This window comes from Homo sapiens, chromosome 6 (genome assembly GCF_000001405.40).
Source record: "Homo sapiens chromosome 6, GRCh38.p14 Primary Assembly".
Taxonomy (NCBI): Eukaryota; Metazoa; Chordata; class Mammalia; order Primates; family Hominidae; genus Homo; species Homo sapiens.
Window position 1 is genome coordinate 57523599 of NC_000006.12, and position 19224 is coordinate 57542822.

Genomic DNA, 19224 nt, shown 5'->3' on the forward strand with positions numbered 1-19224 from the left:
TGTCAGTAATGCCCTGTGGCATTTATGTCACAGTAGTGGAGCTGGTGAATACCACTCTTGGAGCTGAGGTGTGATGATCCATCTTCTGCTAACAGTCAGTGCCACAGCATGAAAAGATTATTATTATTTTTCTTAACCAGCTAATCTTGCCATGAGACCCATAAATCCACTTTCATGTAATTTCTGCTTTTTGTTTTCAACTCTGAGTTTCAACACTCAAAAACAATTCCCTGTTGAGTACCTAAGTGCTCATATTGATATTCGTGGTACATTGAACAGGACTTAAATTTCTGTTGTTTCTACAAAGTCCAGGAGTAGGTCTGCCTTTCACTACAATTCACAGATCAGATGTGTGCAGATGTATCTGTTTCAGATTTATCCTTTTATATATCCATGGTATTTTTGCTCTGTACATTAGACGTTTGTGAGACAGTATTTGGGGGAAACTCTAGTTTAGTGTGGATGTGATTAATTATGCCTTGCTGTCTTGGTCATTCCCCAACCCCTGCATTCTCCAAAATTAGATTGATTTAATTGGATTTAAAATGGGATCATTTAAATTTGGTTGTGTAAATATGTGTTTTGTATGTTTTGAAAGTCTTAACCTTTCTCTTTTCAGCCTATAAATTATTGAAATTCTGTTAGCTTTATAATTTTCTGTTTGCTGTGATTTTAAGCTATATTGGAAAACTAGCCATGCTGGCCTCTTATGTTTAATGAGCGAGATAATATGAGACGGAAAAGTTCCTCAGGTGTGACTGTGTTTTAATTAAGTTTTATGTAAGTTTATTGAACAGATGCAACCATTAAAAGATGCTTTTGGCTGGGCACGGTGGCTCACGCCTGTAATCCCAGCACTTTGGGAGGCCGAGGCGGGCTGATCACCTGAGATCAGGAGTTCAAGACCAACCTGACCAACATGGAGAAATCCCGTCTCTACTAAAAATACAAAATTAGCCAGGCATGGTGGCACGTGCATGTAATCCCAGCTACTCGGGAGGCTGAGGCAGGAGAATCACTTGAACCGGGGAGGCAGAGGTTGCGGTGAGCCGAGATCGTACCATTGCACTCCAGCCTGGGCAACAAGAGCAAAACTCCGTCTCAAATTAAAAAAAAAAAGGATGCTTTTATATATTTTGTGTATCATGAATTCTCTTATAGCAGAATATATAATTTAAGACCATCGCCTCAAAATAAAACAAAAACACCAGATTACTTTTGTGTAGGCAGAGTTTGTTATACACAATTGCAAAATTCTGTTTTCTTAGAAGGCACTATTATATGTACACTTAGGTGTTTAGAAACCTGGAGAAAACCTCAAATTTTCATGAAAACAGAAACTTAGCACTATATTATTACAAAGGAAATAGGACTTAAAGGGGTTTTTAAAATTATATTTTAATGGTCTTTGATTAAAGACCTATCTCAGGACCTGCCTAATTTCCTACCGAATTTCTCCCCCACCCCCTGCCCACCTGCCTTTGCTTGTGTTTTTTCTCTAACCTAACCTCTTCATCTATAAACTACTTTTTAGAAATTTTCTTGGCTTTGCTTCTCCTTTCTGCCCCTCCGTCTGTTATGTGATAACCCTTCAGATCCTAAGAAAAAGACTTTATTATTCCAAAATGCTACGCCCTTATCACATTCTTACTTTAAAACCCCTTCAACAACCTTAATAAACTTTAATCACATACTTTTATGAACCTGGTCAAAATGTCAGAATGTTTTAATATATTTAACGTTGTTAAACTACAAATGATAAAAATATTAAAACAACCAGGCCTTTGACTTTTTTTGTGATTATCACATCCTACTTCTAAACCTCCAAGCTTAAACTATTTTCCAACTACATTCTCTAATTCTTCCACTTTACTCCCTAGTTGCTCATTCCTACTGATTGTCATCTTCCTTTGATCCCAGACTTCTATTTCAGTTCCCCAAGATCACCCCTTCCGCCCATGGCTCAGCAGGCTTCTCTATTCAACCTAGACCTGTTGTCCGGCATTTCAACAACATTCTAATAACATTCTAGGATCCTGTAGTCTGTGTTTCTAAAGCATAACTCTCTCTATTCAGTGCCATTGTATTGCTCAAAAATCTTTAATGCTGCACACATTGCCTACCTTCTCCTCTCACCCTTCATTTAGAAGAGACCTCCTCTCTGCGGGCTTGAGGAACAATTGTTTTGAGCATTGTTGTGGCACTCATCACATTATCCTCCCTGGACTATGTCTGGATCCTTCACTGCTTGGACCCTTCCTTGGTCACAAAGGTGCTTAATAAGTGTATGCTGAGAGATAGGGGGGTTGTACAGGGATTCCTGAAGGTGTGTGTGTGGTGTTTTTTTATTTATTTGTTTGTTTTAGTAATTAGAATCTTTTACATCCAGATCAGGACAACAACTGGGATGTGGAAAAAAAGTGTCTTATAGAGAGAGAATCTGACAATCTAGTGATATTAGAAAAGTAGTTTGTCCTGGGTTTTATGCATTTATATGGTTCTGTTTCGGTAGTGAAGGTGTTTATTTTGCTGTTACAGTGCAGTAATTGTTACATTTTAGCAGAAATACACTATATCCTTTTACAATCCAGTGTCTTCAGATAGATTTCTAATGTAATTGAATATTCACTGAACCACATCTTTATTGTTTTCACTACTTTTCTATAACTTGAGAAAACTGATATTTCACCCTTAATGCCTTTCACCTGATACTTTAGCAAATAAATTATGCATAGGGAGTGTAAGTAAATCACTGCAATTCCTTATCCATTACCACACATATTTATGGATGAAAAAAAGTGATGCATAGCTTGCCTTGTCTTTTTCCTTTTAAACTTGTGGAAAATTAGTGGCTAAACTGAGAATTAAGGAAATCAAATTCAGATTTTTCAAGATTCTCTGATTAATCAAACATTGCCCTTTATATTTGGCAAAATAGTCGTTAATGACATAATTTGAATTTTGTGACCCATTAAAATGTTCTTCGGTCTTCTATATTGAAAAAAATGGTATTTGTGTTATATCTCACTTTATTCTTTTATGAAACATTAGGAGTAGGAAAGCTTTTATGCTTACTGAATCCCTTACTTAAAAAACTATGTTGGTGACAGTGAATGTCTCTCAAAATAAAGCTGTGAGTATTTTAAATGGACAGAAAACTGTTTTCTGCTGGGTTTGCATGTGTTTATAGATGTTGAAGCAATTAGAAATGTTTTTTGCATTTAAAAATGACTTTCTGTGTTTTCCCAATATAATTACTAAGACATGTTCCCTCATAAAATCGATCATTTTCAAATCATGAAAATAAGAATATATTTTGACAATTCATTAATATAGCAGCTTCATTTATTTGGCAGCAGTATGATAGAAAGCTGGCGCTGAGCTCTGAATGGAGAAGGGCACGTCTCTTTCCTGGCTACCTGTTAGGATTCTCCTTTAGAACCATCTTTTGGCACTTCCAGGTAAAAGCCAGTTTCATGAGCCAATGTGAATTGCTTTTAAGGGTTTTTTTATTTTATGGCAGCATTATTTGTTTTTCTTCTACCTTGATTTTTGAGCTTCTGTCAATGTTTCATTATTATGAGGAAAAAACCATTCACCTGGAAACATTGTAAAGATGAGTGAAGAAAATTTATTATCAAAACTTGTATTTTCATAATTTCTTTGTAAGTTTATTCCTGAATTACAGTTTTATTGTTTAGGCTAAATAGTTTTTATCTTGTGGAAAGTGAAATCTTGGCTTGGAAGCACTCAGTCACTCAGGCTAGAAACTGATTTGTTATTCTTGACTTTTCTACCTCCTTCATCAAAGCATATCCATTCTTTTCCAGAAAATTTCCTGAACCCATCTATTGCCTTCCTTTCTCCATCGTTACCACTACTTTACTCAGGCTCTCACCTTTCCTCGCCTGGATGTAACATTGCCTACAGTATTCTTCCAGTTTGTTGCCAGTCCCTCCCCTTTCTAATTATTTCCCCACACTGCTTTGTTTCTCAAGTGTAAACTGGATTATGTCAGTTCTTGCCTCACATCTTTTCATGATTTTTCACTGCCTGCAGAGCATGGGATACAGTCTTCTCACCATCTGCCTTTCTTGTGTTGTATCTAACAATCCCCCTGCCCCCCAGCTATCCTTAACTAGTTCAAATAGGTTTAAGTAGCTGTGATGTTTATTATCACCTCCTCTAATGCAGACATAAGTAAGCCTTTCTGATTATAGATGAGTAGAGGAGAGATGTCATTCCTAATTCTGATACTTAACATCCTCATTTCTATCATATTCATCCCCACCCCCATGGGTTCCATACTTGCCCACACTAGGCTGGTGGCCTTCTTTCTATTACGTGTATGTCTTTTTTATAGAGTTTTTATTTTTTATTTTTGAGACAGGGTCTCAATCCCTCATCCAGGCTGGACTGCAGTGATGTGATCATAAATCACTGCAACCTCAAACTCCTAGGCTCAAGCAATCCTCCCACCTCAGCCTCCTGAGTAGCTGAGACTACAGGTGCGTGCCACCACACCCAGCTAATTTTTTTTTTTTTTTTTATAGCGATGATGTCTTGCTATATGTTGCCCAGGCTGATCTCTAACTCCTGGGCTCAAGCGGTCCTCCTGCCTTGGCTTCCCAAACTGCTGGGAATAGAGGCATGAGCCACTAGGACTGGCCAAAAATATTTTTAGAAGTTTGATGTCTACACAGTTTAAGTCTACTTATATTCTCTCTGTAGGCATTTATACCAATAAAGTCTTTGCATTCATCGTTGCTAGCATTCTCTTGCTTTTTTTCTTTTTTTCCTTGAAATTTAGCCCTTTTGTATATTCTAGTGAGGTGTGGAAGAACAAGCATTTTATACTGTCATTTAGGCAAATGTATATGTCCTCTTTATATGTCTTCTCTTTGTACTTAGTATAGTATGCATTAATCTGGGCTGAGAACAACTTCCTTGTGGCATAGTAATCATTTGGCTTCATTTACTCAATAACTATAATTCTGTTTGTACATCATTTTACCATTTATAGAGGCCTTTCATATTTGTTTATTTGATCTGAACAATCCTGTTACATCATTGTAATCACCACCTTCAGCTGATAGACTAAGAAGCTGAGACTTATAAGGGTCAATGGCATGGCCTAGTACTTCCCAGCTGGATGATGGCTCCTCTACAGGATCATGCTGTTGTCTCTCTTACAATCCTGTTATTTCTGTACTTATTGGTCAAGACTGCAATTGCTGTTTGTGCTGGAGTATGCTTTACTGATTTTAATTAGCACTTTGGATACATTATTTCATTTGATTTCCCCAGTATTTCTGTTAATTAGGCAGGGCTGGCATTATTAGTGCCATTTTACAAATAAGGATGATGCAAATCAGAATGGTTAAGTGACTTGTCCCAGTTTGCAGAACTGGTATTTAAAGAACAAAAACCAGCCGGGCGCAGTGGCTCACGCCTGTAATCCCAGCACTTTGGGAGGCCGAGGTGGGTGGATTACGAGGTCAGGAGATCAACACCATCCTAGCTAACACGGTGAAACCCCGTCACTACTCAAAAATACAAAAATTAGCCGGTCGTGGTGGTGGGCGCCTGTATTCCCAGCTACTTGGGAGGCTGAGGCAGGAGAATGGCGTGAACCCGGGAGGCAGAGCTTGCAGTGAGCGGAGATCGCCCCACTGCACTCCAGCCTGGGCGACAGACAGAGCGAGACTCCGTCTCAAAAAAAAAAAACAAAAAACCAAGAACGTGTCTTCATAATCCTAGCCTACTGCCATTCCCAATGCCCCATGCTGCCTCTTTGCTCTACTGTAAGACATGTTGGAAAAAGAAATAACATTTTTATTCCTGAGATTTCACTGAAACAATTATCTGGTTATGCTGTGTACTAAAGTCTAAAACATTAAAGTTAAATGGCAGCTATCAATTTAACTTTGCATGAGTTTTATATGCCATTGTGCTACTGCAATTAATGGAATGCATAGAATCCAATAACACATTGTCAGAAAGGTGTCACTCAAGGGAAAGATAATTCAAGGCAAGGGAAAATAATACAAGAGGAGATGTGTTTTAGGATATGGTCTCATAGGGGAAGAAGAATAATTTTTTCTTCAAGCCCTATAGGTTGGAAAGGACCCATGTAACAAAAGACAGATTAATAGGAGAAAAACAAACAAGTTTATTAACATTTTGTATCAGTTTTCTGTGCTTATAACAGAATATCTGAAATTGGGTAATTTATAAAGGAAACAAATTTATTTCTTACACTTATGGAGGATGGGAAGTCCAAGGTCCAGAGGGTGTACCTGGTGAGAGCTTTCTTGCTGGTGGGGACTCTCTGAAGAGTCTTGAGGTGGTGTAGGGTATCACATGGCGAGGGGGCTGAGTGTGTTAACATGCCAGCTCAAGTCTCTCTTCCTCATTTTGTAAAGCCACAAGTTTCCTTCCCATGGCAACTCATTAATCTATTAATCCTCTATCCATTAATCCCACCTCTCAATACTGCCACATTAGGGATTAAATTTAAACATGAGTTTTGGAAGGGACAGATATGCAAACCATAGCACATGTGTGTGCTATGGAAGACATATGCATGGAAAACATCCAGAAAGTAAGTGGTTCTCAAAAAAAGGTGCTTTCAATTCAAGTTTACATAGCAAATTCAACTAAGAGCAATAAATTTCTAGAGAAGTGACATGGCAAAGGAAAAGGACTTTGAGTCTCTGGTGGCAGCAACTTGTGAGAAGGCAAATAAATGGGAGATAAAGACCAGTTGGTAAAGCTTGTTCATATAGTTTCCTCTGGGATCATCTCCACATAATAAGAATCTGAAGTTATCTTCACTGATCAACCTTTGTTCTCACTGGGAAAAGGTGGGCAGGATGACTTTTGTCTTTGTGAATCTGTGTTTTGCTTTTAGGCAGATAGAGGGAGGGCGGAGAACTTTCCTGAATCTGCTTCTTCTTAAATTGCCTTCACTCAATAATCCTTCATATTTTGGGGGGTGGCATCTTCTGGTTTCCCTCAGTATTAGTCTACTCATCCTGCTCTCAGAGTAATTCTCAGGTCCTTCTTAGCCTGTAGGAGGAGGACTTGCAGGGAGGGGAAATCTGTACCTTTTTTTTTTTCTTTTTTTTGATACAAGGTCTTACTCTGTCACCCAGGGTGGAGCATGATCTCAGCTCACTGCATCCTACACCTCCTGGGCTCAAGCCATCCTACTGCTTCAGCCTCCTGAGTAGCTGGTACTACAGGCACACACCACCATGCCTGGCCAATTTTTGTATTTTTTGTAGAGACAAGGTTTTGTCATGTTGCTTAGGCTAGTCTTGAACTTCTGGGCTCAAGCCATCTGCCTGCCTCAGCCTCCCAAAGTGCTGGGATGACAGGTGTGAGCCAGCTATATTGTGGTTTTGCTTCATAATCCATACCCATTGTTTAATCAGTAAAATTGATTGATTATGGAAACAACAGCCTGTCTACAGAGCATCTTGAGCGTATATGTGGTTCAGCAGGTAGAATCTGTAACTGAGCAGATAGAAAGTAGTATCTGGATTTTTTGTTTGTTTGTTTGTTTTTTTGAGACAGTCTCGCTCTATAGCCTAGGCTCGAATGCTCAGGCATGATCATGGCTCACTACAGCCTTGATCTCCCTGGCTCAAGCAATCCTCTTACCTCAGCCTCCAGAGTAGCTAGGACTACAGGCATGCCACCATGCCCAGGTTTTTGTTTTTGTTTTAATTTTTATTATTTGTAGAGACAGAGTCTTACTCTGTTGCCCAGGTGGAATTCTTTATGATCATAATGACTCTTCACTCCAGGGTTTCCCTTTAGTTGTGGTATTTGTATAATCTTTGGTTTGATTGTGAATTTCTATGTAATCTAGCAGCTGTTTTTTGCTATGTCACACCTGCATGCACCTGAGTCTGTGTTCATGGAGTTGGGCATGAGTAGTGTGTTGTGTGAAGGAGGTCAAACATTACTGAGGTGGGTGGCTTAAGGTAGTATATACCAAGTTATGTTTCCTAATTTGAAGATAATCATGCAGGAAAATTTATTATAGGGAAGAGGATGATATGGTGCGGTGAAAAAATGGGGAATTAGGAATCAAAAGGTTTGAGTTCCCACTGCACTGCTGACTTGCTTTCTGATCCTAACAAGTTTCTAACTCCTCCAAGCCTCCATTCATCAGATGATATACAGAAACGCTCTTTCAGGGGGTTGCAAGGATCTAATTAGAGGCTATTGAAGACTCTTTGTACACTGTAAAATGCTATTCAGATATTATTTATTTTAATAAACAGTGATTGCTTTATGTCAGGCTCTTTAACAAAAATTCTTACAATTCAGACCTCCTATCAACACTGCAAAGCAGGCATTATTATCGCCATTAGTCAATAAGGCACCTGGCATACAGAGAGTAACTAAGTAACTTGCTCACCTACTACTTTTAAGTGATGATTCCCAATTTAAGTTCCAGCTGCTTTTTTGCTATGTTGTCGTGCTGTTAATAAAGGATAAATGGTAGAGGTTTGAACTTTAACAACAACTTGGATTATGCTTCTAAAAAAATGGAAGTGGTGCTCTAGACTAGGAGTCAGGAGGTTCAGACTGTTACTATATTTTTCTATTATTTTGGGGTAAGTTACTTAAATTAATTTCATTAAATACGTTTAAAACACTTGGCTATGTTTCTGCTAAGGTTTACATGTAAAATGCTTTCTTATTTTAATCATTTTCAGAATTTAAAAAATTTCCTTCGAAGGGATCAAAAGTATTTTATGAATCTGTTTTAATATTTTTTTTTCTTTTTTTAAAGTCATTCCTACACTGGCCAAGATTACAGTACCCAGGGAAATGTTGGGAAGATTTCTTTAGATCAGATTGATTTGGTAAGTAGAACATTATTTTAAACTTAGAACTTTATCAATGGAGGGAACATAGATTTTCTTAAATCAAAGACTTTTGGGTGAGGAGATAGAATATTATTTCACTGCTTGCTGATTAATTTTAAAGAAAATCCCATGTCCCACTTAGATGATTTTAAAAAAAATCATAAGAAAATCATTTAATCAGAAAATTATCTGTACTTTTATGAAAACAGAATTTAATCAACTATTCCAAACAGGAATTCTTTTAAATAGCTAAATGGAGTTTGTGTTTACATTTAAATAGTGTATACATTTAATAAAGGGGAAATGGAAAACACTAAGTGTATTAGTTTGTTAGGGTTGTCATGACAACGGAAATTTATTTTCTCACAGTCTAGAGGCTCGAAATCCAAGATCAAAGGGATAGTAGGTTTGATTTCTTCCAGGGCCTTTCTTGTCTCACAGATAGCTGCCTTCTCCTTGTGTTCTCCTGTGGTTTTCCCACTGCTTGCATACATCCCTGGTGTCTCTTCTTTTTGTAAGGACACTGAGTATGTGAGACCAGGGCCCCACCCCCATGGCCTCCTTTAATCTTAATGAGTTCTTTAAAGGCCCCATCTCTAAATATAGTCACATTTGGAGCTACTAGAGGTCAGGACTTGATATATGAATTTCAGGGGGAGAGGACAATTCATCATCCAGTGTAGGCTACGAGATTAATAGATAGCTTATTTTAGCATCATTTGACTTTGTGGTTCCATAGGGTAGCGTACTTTGCCATACTTGTAGAATTTCTCTTTAATACATAACAGCATTTGCACTCCATACACAAAGGGAAAATAAGCCAGCCATAAATAATCTTGGGTTAGACAACTACCAAATTATTCACAATAAATTAAAAATACACAGGGATTTTAATGCTTGGAAACAAGAACTGTAATAAGACTAGTAGAGAAAGAACGTGAGTTTGGATCAGAATGAATAGGTCGTCTTCCATTTGAAAAATTATAAAAAAGTACTTGCAGTTAATATGTCTAGAAATAACAGTAGGGTTGCCTACTTTACACAGTTGATTTGTTGATTTGAAATTTGTTCTCAAAGATGTCCCATCTTTTAATTTTTTTATTAAACACTTATCTCTAACAGTCCACTTTCTCACTTCCACTCATGTGATTTGTGCTTATATAATGTGAATGGTTGGAGGTTAATTCTGTTCTTAGTTCTAGCTAGATGTTTCCCTATTCACAAGCAAATGTGAATTTCATTGGATACTGTTGGAGTTCATAGAAATATTAATTCATTTAATGGATATGTATTGAGCCCATCAGTTATGTAGCAGCCATTGTGCTGTGGATACAGAAGTGAGGAAAACAGAAAATGTCCCTGCCTTCATGGACCTTACATGAGGGAGAGGGACAACATAATAAATAATAAATGAGCAATATAATGTTAAGTGCTATGATGATGATCCTGTCATGGGTCTGTGCCTGAGACCCCGTGGTGAGTAATACAGATGTATCTTTTTCTGGACTGCCTCCTAACTCTGTATCTATATTGTTTGATCTTCACAACAGCATGTCATTTGCATATCCCTTGGTATTTGCAACTCTTCTCCAAATGTTTTCTTTAGTTTTTTCTTCTAACAAATCTGGCTTTCTCAATGCTGTTTCCGCTGTGGGCCTCTTCAAGTAGAGACAACTTTCCCCCCGAGTTCATATATAGGTATGCGGTGAGTGTCTTTCTTGGTCCGCATTTCTCTGCCTTCCATTGTTACAGCTCCAGCTCCTTTAAAGCCCTTGTGATCTTATTATATCATCTGATACCTCCTTTGTTGCTATTCGACCCCCTCCCCCCACACCTGTATTCGTTGATGATTTGAACACCTAGCTAATGGTCTTGTGTACTGGCGCTATTGTTGTTATTGTTCTTGGCCTCTGCAAGATCCAAGTTGATAATTTATCCCCTATCCTGGACTTATGATTCTTTTGTTTGCTTGTTTTCCATGATCATTTTTCTATCTGTATATAGCCAGACACTATCTTTTTAATTTTTATTATTTGGACTACTGCCCACACCTCTTAAGTATCCCTCCTGCTTCCATTCTTACTCTCATATAGTCTTTTCACTACATAACAGCCAGAGTTCTCTTTGTGTATTGAATCACATCAGTCTTCTGGTCAGAACCCTCTAGTGGGTTTTTATCATATGTAGACTTAAATCCAAACTCATGTTGTGGCCTCTGAAGCCATATGTGCTCATCATTTCTATTTTATCTTCTGCTCCATTCCGGCTCATTCACTTGCTCTGGTCACATGGATCTTATTCTCTCTTTTAGCACACCACATTTATTCCTTCTCAGGATCTTCATTTCACTAGAATCCAACTTACTTTGTCTTACTTGAAATGCCATCTCCTCAAAAAGGCTTCCCTGGCCACCCAAATTGAAGTACCTCTCCCCTAATCACACTTGATTTCATTTCTCTATTTCATTTCCAGTGTTTTGGCATCAGATGTTATCTTTTTAATGTCTGTATTCATTGTCCGTCTCCTCCTATTAAAAATAAGCTCTTCGAGGACAGGGTTTTTGACTTCTTTGTTCACTACTGGTTCCCCAGGGCTGTACACATAGTAAGTGTTAAATAAATATTTGTTGATTGAATGAATAAGAAGTAATCAAGGAATGTGCCAAAAGAAATAGAAATTGAGGTGGGTCTTGAATGATGACTTGGCTTTGGCTACATGGCATGTGCATGAGAAGGGTGCACCAGGCAGGGCTAGCAGAGTGAGAAAAATGAGAAGCTACAGAGCATGACTGCGTGGTCATGGGATATTGAATAATCCAGTGGACTGGAGCCGAGGACTCATTTTGGTGTAGTAATAATATACTGGGCTTTCCCAGGCTCCCTGTCACAGTGCTTCTGTGGTGCTCAAGTTTTGCCCTTGTTGGAGCCCTCATTTTATCATTTATTTCATGTGTTTAACTTACATAGTAGTGAATATAATAATTGTGGTGTCTTTTTCCTTAACTGAATTAAAGGGGACAATTAGGTCCTAGCTTATTTTCCAGAACACTTAATAAATAATTGTTCTGTTATGTATAATTGAAAAGTAGTTATTGGCCAGGCGCAGTGGGTCATGCCATCTGCAATCCTAGCACTTTGAGAGGCCAAGGTGGGAGGATCACCTGAGGTCAGGAGTTCGAGACCAGCGTGGCCAACATGGTGAAACTCTGTCTCTACTACAAATACCAAAATCAGCTGGGCATGTTGGCAGGCACCTGTAATCCCTGCTACTCAGGAGGCTGAAGCAGGAGAATCGCATGAACCTGGGAGGCAGAGGTTATAGTGAGCCGAGATGGCACTGCTGCACTCCAGCCTGGGCAACAGAGTGAGATTCCATCTCAAAAAAATAAAAAAAGAAGAAAAAAAAAGAAAGGTAGTTACCAGATATTGAGGAAACCTTGCATGTTCATACTAAGGATGTTGAATATTGATTGTATGGATTAGAACAATGTTTAGAAAAAAATCAGATATTAATATGAAGGAACAAAAATGGTCTCATGAAAAGGAGCTGAAAGGCTTTCTAGTTAGTTCTAGATATAGAACCAAGGGAGGATATAGGTCTGAATGAACTAGACTGGGGATGGAAAAAATCAGAAGTTGTTACTGTAAAAGAATGAAGAGAAACTAGATGGTCACTAGAGGGAGCAGCAAAGTCAAGCAAAGTGAGACCTGCTCTTTCTTATAGATGAAGTGAACTTGCTAAGGCATATGTGAGGGAGTAAGAATTTAAGTCTTGGGAGGATATTTAAGGAAGTCATAGAGAATGCAATTGAAACCGTAAGTGAAAAATTAAAGTAGGCAATGATATTTCATTTTTGGCACTAAGGCACTAACTACACTTTGTTCCTTTTAACTTGGTTTCTTTAACATATTTATTTGAATTTTCCTTATGAGAAGTTTCTCTTATTTTTGTATTCTGCTTTGTATTTGAGTTATCTTAAAAGTTCATCTGCTATTCAGCAATTGTACTTTTATCTCAGGGAAATGAAATCTTATGTTCACATAAAAACCTCTTCAAGAATGCTTATAATACCTTCATTTGAAATAGCCCAAACTGGAAACAACCCAAGTGTTCTTCAATGAGTGAATAAATAAATTATGATACATTCATACCATGGAAAACTATTAGTAATAAAGAAATGAGCTTATATACAACTTAGATGAATCTTGAGGGAATTCTGCTGAGTAAAAAATGACAATCTCAAAACAATACATATTATATGATTCTATTATACTCTTGAAATGACAAAATTATAGAGATGGAGAACCAGATCAGTGGTTGCCAAAGATTAGGGAGCTGAGGGAGGGGAGCAGGGTGCAAAAGATAGATGGGGGTGGTTATAAAATCATGAGAGATCCTTGTGGTGACAGAACTGTTCTGCATGTTGACTGTGGTGGTGGATGTATGAACCTACATGTGACAAAACTGTATAAAATTTAATACGGAAGTAAGTGCATGAGTACAACTGAGGAAACCTGAATAAGACTAGTGGATTGTATCAATGTCAGTATCCTGTTTGTGATAATCTACTGTAGTTGTATATGATTTTATCTTTGGGGGAATTTGGATATATGCTATCTCTTTGTATTATTTCTTGTAACTGTATGGGAGTCTGTAGTTAACTTCAAAGAAAAAGTTTAATTAAATTAAAAAAACAGGTAAAATAAATTTTAATAGTATGTTATTTAATCCAAAGTATCTAAAATATTATATTAACTTGTAACCAGTAAAAAATGTTAATAAGAAACATCTTATACAGATAAGAGTCATCTGTAACCACAGTAATAAAGTGGCACTTTCTTATGGTGTTTTTTTTTTATTCCAATTAAATTGAATTAGGAACCATAACAAATATTACAGGGGACCTGATAAGTCTTCCACTTAACTTAAAACTCTACTATTTTTTTCTTGTAGCTTTCTACCAAATCCTTCCCACCTTGCATGCGTCAGTTACATAAAGCCTTGCGGGAAAATCACCATCTTCGTCATGGAGGCCGAATGCAGTATGGCCTATTTCTGAAGGGCATTGGTTTAACTTTGGAACAGGCATTGCAGTTCTGGAAGCAAGAATTTATCAAAGGAAAGATGGATCCAGACAAGGTAATTTTGAAAAAAAATATCAGAGTGGTACCTGATATTTTAATTTGGTCTGAAAATGAAACGGTCTATTTTTTTTTTTAAATATGCTCCCTGCAATGTAGTTGAAAATTCTAAAAGGATAAATGTGTTGACAATTCAGTTTAGATAAAAAGAAACTTGCATATTAATCTAATACAAAAGATTGGGGAAGGAATGTTTTCATTTGTAGGTATACTGCCAGTAGTAATTATAAGACTGAAATTGCTTTCAGAGTTATATATCTGTAGGAATGTATGTGTGTCTATACATATGCACATAATGTTTTGAGCACTGGGAGATATCATGAACAAATAAAATGGAACAATTTAAAATATTTTCTATTATGTTATGCAGAATCTTTTATAAACTTTTGTTTTTTTTTTTCGAGACAGGGTCTTCTTCTGTTGCCCAGGCTGGGCTGGAGTGCAATGGTGCAATCATGGCTCACTGCAGCCTCGACCTTTGGGCTCAAGTGATCCTCCCACTTCATTCTTCCCAGTAGCTAGGGCCACAGGTGGACACCATTATGCCTGGCTAATTTTTTTCTTTTTTTAATTTTTTGTAGAGATGGAGTCTCACTATGTTGCCCAGGTTGGTCTCAAACTCTTGGGCTCAAGCTGTTCTCCTGCCTTGGCGTGCTGAAGGGTTGTGATTACAGCTGTGAGCCTGAGTCATCATACCTAGCCTATAGAACATTTTTAGATGGACAATAATTACTATAAACCTGAACAACTTTTTAAAAACCCTATCTGCAGTGCTTATATTCCCAATCCTATGCCTTGTTTCTCTTTAATAGTGCCAGCTAATAACATTTTACTTGGAAATATGATTTCTTGCCCCTTCTATGCCATGACACTGTGGTATGAAGAACATTTTTTACTGTTTATTTCTTGATTTGCTGCCTCCTAAAAGTAAATTATGGAAGAAAGAATATTTACCAGGTACATTTTATAGTACTTTATTATGTTTTATGTTAGTTTGCAAGCATTGCCAAAATAAAATACCGCAGACTGGTTGGCTTAAAAAACGGAAGTTTATTTCCTCACACTTCTGGAGGCTGGAAGTCCAAGATCCAAGTATTGGCAGATTTGGTTTCTCCTGAGGCCTGTCTCCTTGGCTTACATGTGGCCTTCTTCTTGCTTTGTGCTCACATGGCCTTTTCTCTGTGCATGTGCATCCCTGGTGTTTCTTCCTTTTCTTATAAATACACTAGTCTTACGGGATTAGGGCCCCACACTCATCTGATCTCATTTAACCTTAATTATCCCTTTAGAGGCCCTATCTCCAATTACAGTTGGATTTGGAGTTAGGGGTTCAACAAATGACTTTTAGGAGATCACAATTCAGCTCGTGTGTGTAGCTATATACTTTATTAAAAAGCATAGATTTTTAAAAATAACATTATAAAAAGCTGTTATAGTTTTTTCAGATTTGTTTTAAAAACTGTCTTCATCGACAATTATCCATAGAATCTTAATGAAGTCACTTAATAGGATTTTCTTTGAGCAGTTTTGGATAATGTTTTTTATATTTCTTTTAAAGGTAATTTATTCTAATTATAGAAAATATGAAAAATACAGAAAAATTCACCTGTTATCCTCCAATTTGAAATAATTACTGTCAACATTGAAGCCTTTTACTCTAGTCTACAGAACTAAACACCACTGCTTTTCACCATTCTAAAAATTGTCATTATATTATGATTATATTTGCATATTTTTGACCAATCATTGAAAATATCTTAATGAGTTACATAATATATCCTTTGAAAGTGATGTAATTTGTTTAATCATTCTCCTATTGTTGGACATTTGGTTGTGTCTAATTTGACTCTGTTATATATGTTACTAATATAAATAACAGAGTCAAATAGCTAATATCCTGTGGACATAGATAATTGATTATAGTTTTGATTATATTCTTTGTGTGTGTGTGTGTGTGTGTCAATTATAGTTTTGATTATATTCTTTGTGTGTGTGTGTGTGTGTGTGTGTGTGTGTGTGTGTGTGTGTGTATATATATATATATATGCATTCACCAGGAAATAAAATTATAAGAAACTACACACAGCTGGGCAGGTTGGCTCATGCCTGTAATCCTAGCATTTTGGGAGACCGAGGCAGGTGGGTCGCCTGAGGTCAGGAGTTCAAGACCAGCCTGGCCAACATGGTGAAATACCGTCTCTACTAAAACTACAAAAATTAACTGGGCGTGGTGGCAGGTGCCTGCAATCCCAGCTACTGGGGTGGCTGAGTCAGGAGAATCACTTGAACCTGGGAGGTGGAGGTTGCAGTGAGCTGAGATCGCACCACTGCACTCCAGCCTGAGTGACAGAGTGAGACTCCATCTCAAGAAAAAAAAAAAAAGGAAACTACACATAATTTTAAAGTTTTAATGCATGCTGTGAAATGACTGTTCAGAAAGGTTTTAAATTAGACCCTCTTCAAGCGATGTGAGAATTTTGCTCTGCCATTGACATCATGTATTATTAACTTAAAACAGTTTTTGATCTTTTTATTAGGAATTTGATGTCTTAAGTAGGTAGATGTATTAGGGTTCTCCACAGAAATGGAACTGTGTGTCTGTCTGTCTTTCTGTCACTTACACACACATGCACACAGACATACACACACTCACACACACACACAGCGAGAGAGAGAGAGAGAGATGGGGGTTATGGAAGTTGACAAGTCTCAAGATCCGCAGTTGGCAAGTTGAAGACCTGGGAGAGCCAATGTTGTAGTTCTAGTCTGAATCCAAAAGCCTGAAAACCAGAAGAATGATAGTGTACAAGTTGATGCTTGAAATACACAGGTGTGAACTGCATGGGTCCACTTATATGTGGATTTTTTTCAATAAGTATATTGGAAAATTTTCTGGTGATATGCAACAATTTGAAAAAACTTGCAGATGAACCACATAGCCTAGAAATATCGAAAAAGGTAAGAAAAAATTAAGTATATATGAATGTATAAAATATATACTAGTCTTATTTACTAACATGAGATATACAGAAATCTATTGCAAAAAGTTAAAATTTATCAAAACACATGCACACAAATGTACAGACCATACATGGTGCTATTCCCAGTAGAGAGAAATGTAAACAAATGTAAAGATGCAGTATTATAACCTACATAAAATTAACTGTAGCACATTCTGTGCTACTATAGTAATTTAATAGCCCCACCCTGTTGCTACTGTGGTGAGCCTATAAGTGTTGCAAGTATCTGCTTAAAACGCTCTGTGATGCTAATCATCTCAGCGTAAGCAGCTTGCACAGTAAATTGTATATTACAGTAAAGTGATCTCTCACAGTTCTCGGGTATTTTTCATCGTGTTCAGTGCAATATCATAAACCTTGAATAACACCATTGGGCTCATAGGAAGTGTCACTAGTAATGCTGGAAATGCTTCCCCAAACCAGAGAAAAGTAATGATATTACAAGAAACAGTTGAATTGCTTGATATGTAATATAGATTGAGGTCTCCAGCTAAGGTTGAGTGCCATGTCAGACAGATGGTTCATCTTGTAAATAGATAATGTAAACTTACGGTATCGATCAATGTAGTACAGTACTGTAAATGTATTTTCTTATGACTTTCTTTCTCTTTTTGTATTTTTAGTTGAGACGGGGTTTCACCATTTTGGCTAGGCTGGTCTTGAACTCCTGACCTCAGGTGATCTTCCTGCCTCAGCCTCCCAAAGTGCTGGGATTACAGGTGTGAGCTACTGTGCCTGGCCTATTATGACTTTCTTAATTTTTTTTTCTCCAATTTACTTTATTGTGAGGTTACAGTGAATATATATAATACAGTGAATATATGTAATATTCAAAATATGTGTTAATCAGCTGTTTATGTTATCAGTAAGGCTTATGGTCAACAGTAGGGTTTTAGTTGTTAAGTGTTTGGGGAATAAAAAGTTATACATGGATTTTAACTGTATGGGGTGAGGGGTGGAGGTTGTTGCCTATAATCTCTGCATTGTTCAAGGGTCAGCTTTAGTTCCAGCTCAAATGCCAACAGCTTTGAGACCCAGGAAGAGGCAATGTTTCAGTTTAAAAAATGAGGCCCCAGTTTAAGGAAGTCAGACAGAAGGAAATTCCCTCTTACTCACAGGAGGTCAGGCTTTTTGTTCTGTTTAGGCTTTCAACTGATTGGTTGAGAATTATTCACATTAGGTAGGGCAATCTGCTTTACTTTAACTACCAATTCAAATGTTAATCATATCCAGAAACACCCCCTCAGACACCCCCACTGTAATGTTTGACCAAATGTCTGGGCATCTCATGGCCCAGTGAAGAGCTGGGTGGTTGTTGTGTTTTGGTTTTTTTTTTTTTTTTTTTTGAGACAGAGTCTCGCTCTGTCACCCAGGCTGGAGTGCAGTGGCGCAGTCTTAGCTCACTGCAACCTCTGCCTCCCAGGGTTCAAGCAATTCTCCTGCCTCAGCCTCCCAAGTAGCTGGGATTACAGGCATGCACCACCATGCTCAGCTAATTTTGTATTTCTAGTAGAGACGGGGTTTCGCCATGTTGCTCAGGCTAGTCTCGAACTCCTGACCTCAGGTGATCCACCCGCCTTGGCCTGCCAAAGTGCTGGGATTACAAGCGTGAGCTACTGCCACCATGCCCGGCTGGTGAGCTGGGTTGTTTTGAAGTGAAAAGAGAGAAGTTGAGCTAGCATTTTAGCTTGGTTTGTGCTGTAAATTGGGAGAAGAAAAAGGAAAGTAGAGAGGGAAAACCAGCTGCACCAGCCTATGTGGACACTTACCCTGAGTACTAAGTCTTTGGCTTGGACACTTGTTCATTGACCTGCCTTCTTTTATGTACATCTGGAATAGCCTGTGTAGCAATATCATCAGTAGTCTTTTTTTTAACTTGTATGTTTAAATTTTTTTATTATGGAATTTTTATTTTGCAATGCAAACTTTTTTTCAAAAATTCTTATAAAAGAAAATAAATAATTTTTTAGTTTTCTAGATAACATATAGTCTATATTTTTATTAGCTTATTAATTACAGCAAATGTTATTTTGACTAAAGGATTATAAGACACATTTCTGACTTTCTATGACTATTTAGTGTTCTGTTGTTACATAGTCCGTATTGTAAATGTTCATGTTTTTCTCAGCTATATCGTTTACATGTTTTTTCAATGACATGTAATAAACTAAGGCA

The 19224-nt window shown here is 37.5% G+C and overlaps 1 protein-coding gene across 7 annotated transcripts in view; it reads left to right on the top strand.

Annotated features, from left to right (window-relative positions):
* Positions 1-19224, top strand: part of PRIM2 (DNA primase subunit 2) — a 425311-nt gene that overhangs the window by 302059 nt on the left and 104028 nt on the right. For all 7 annotated transcript variants that reach the window (XM_047418987.1, NM_000947.5, XM_047418988.1 and 4 more), the window contains 2 exons: positions 8813-8885; positions 13842-14027. In XM_047418987.1, the coding sequence (XP_047274943.1) occupies positions 8813-8885; positions 13842-14027 (259 nt within the window). The remainder of the gene's footprint in view (positions 1-8812; positions 8886-13841; positions 14028-19224) is intronic.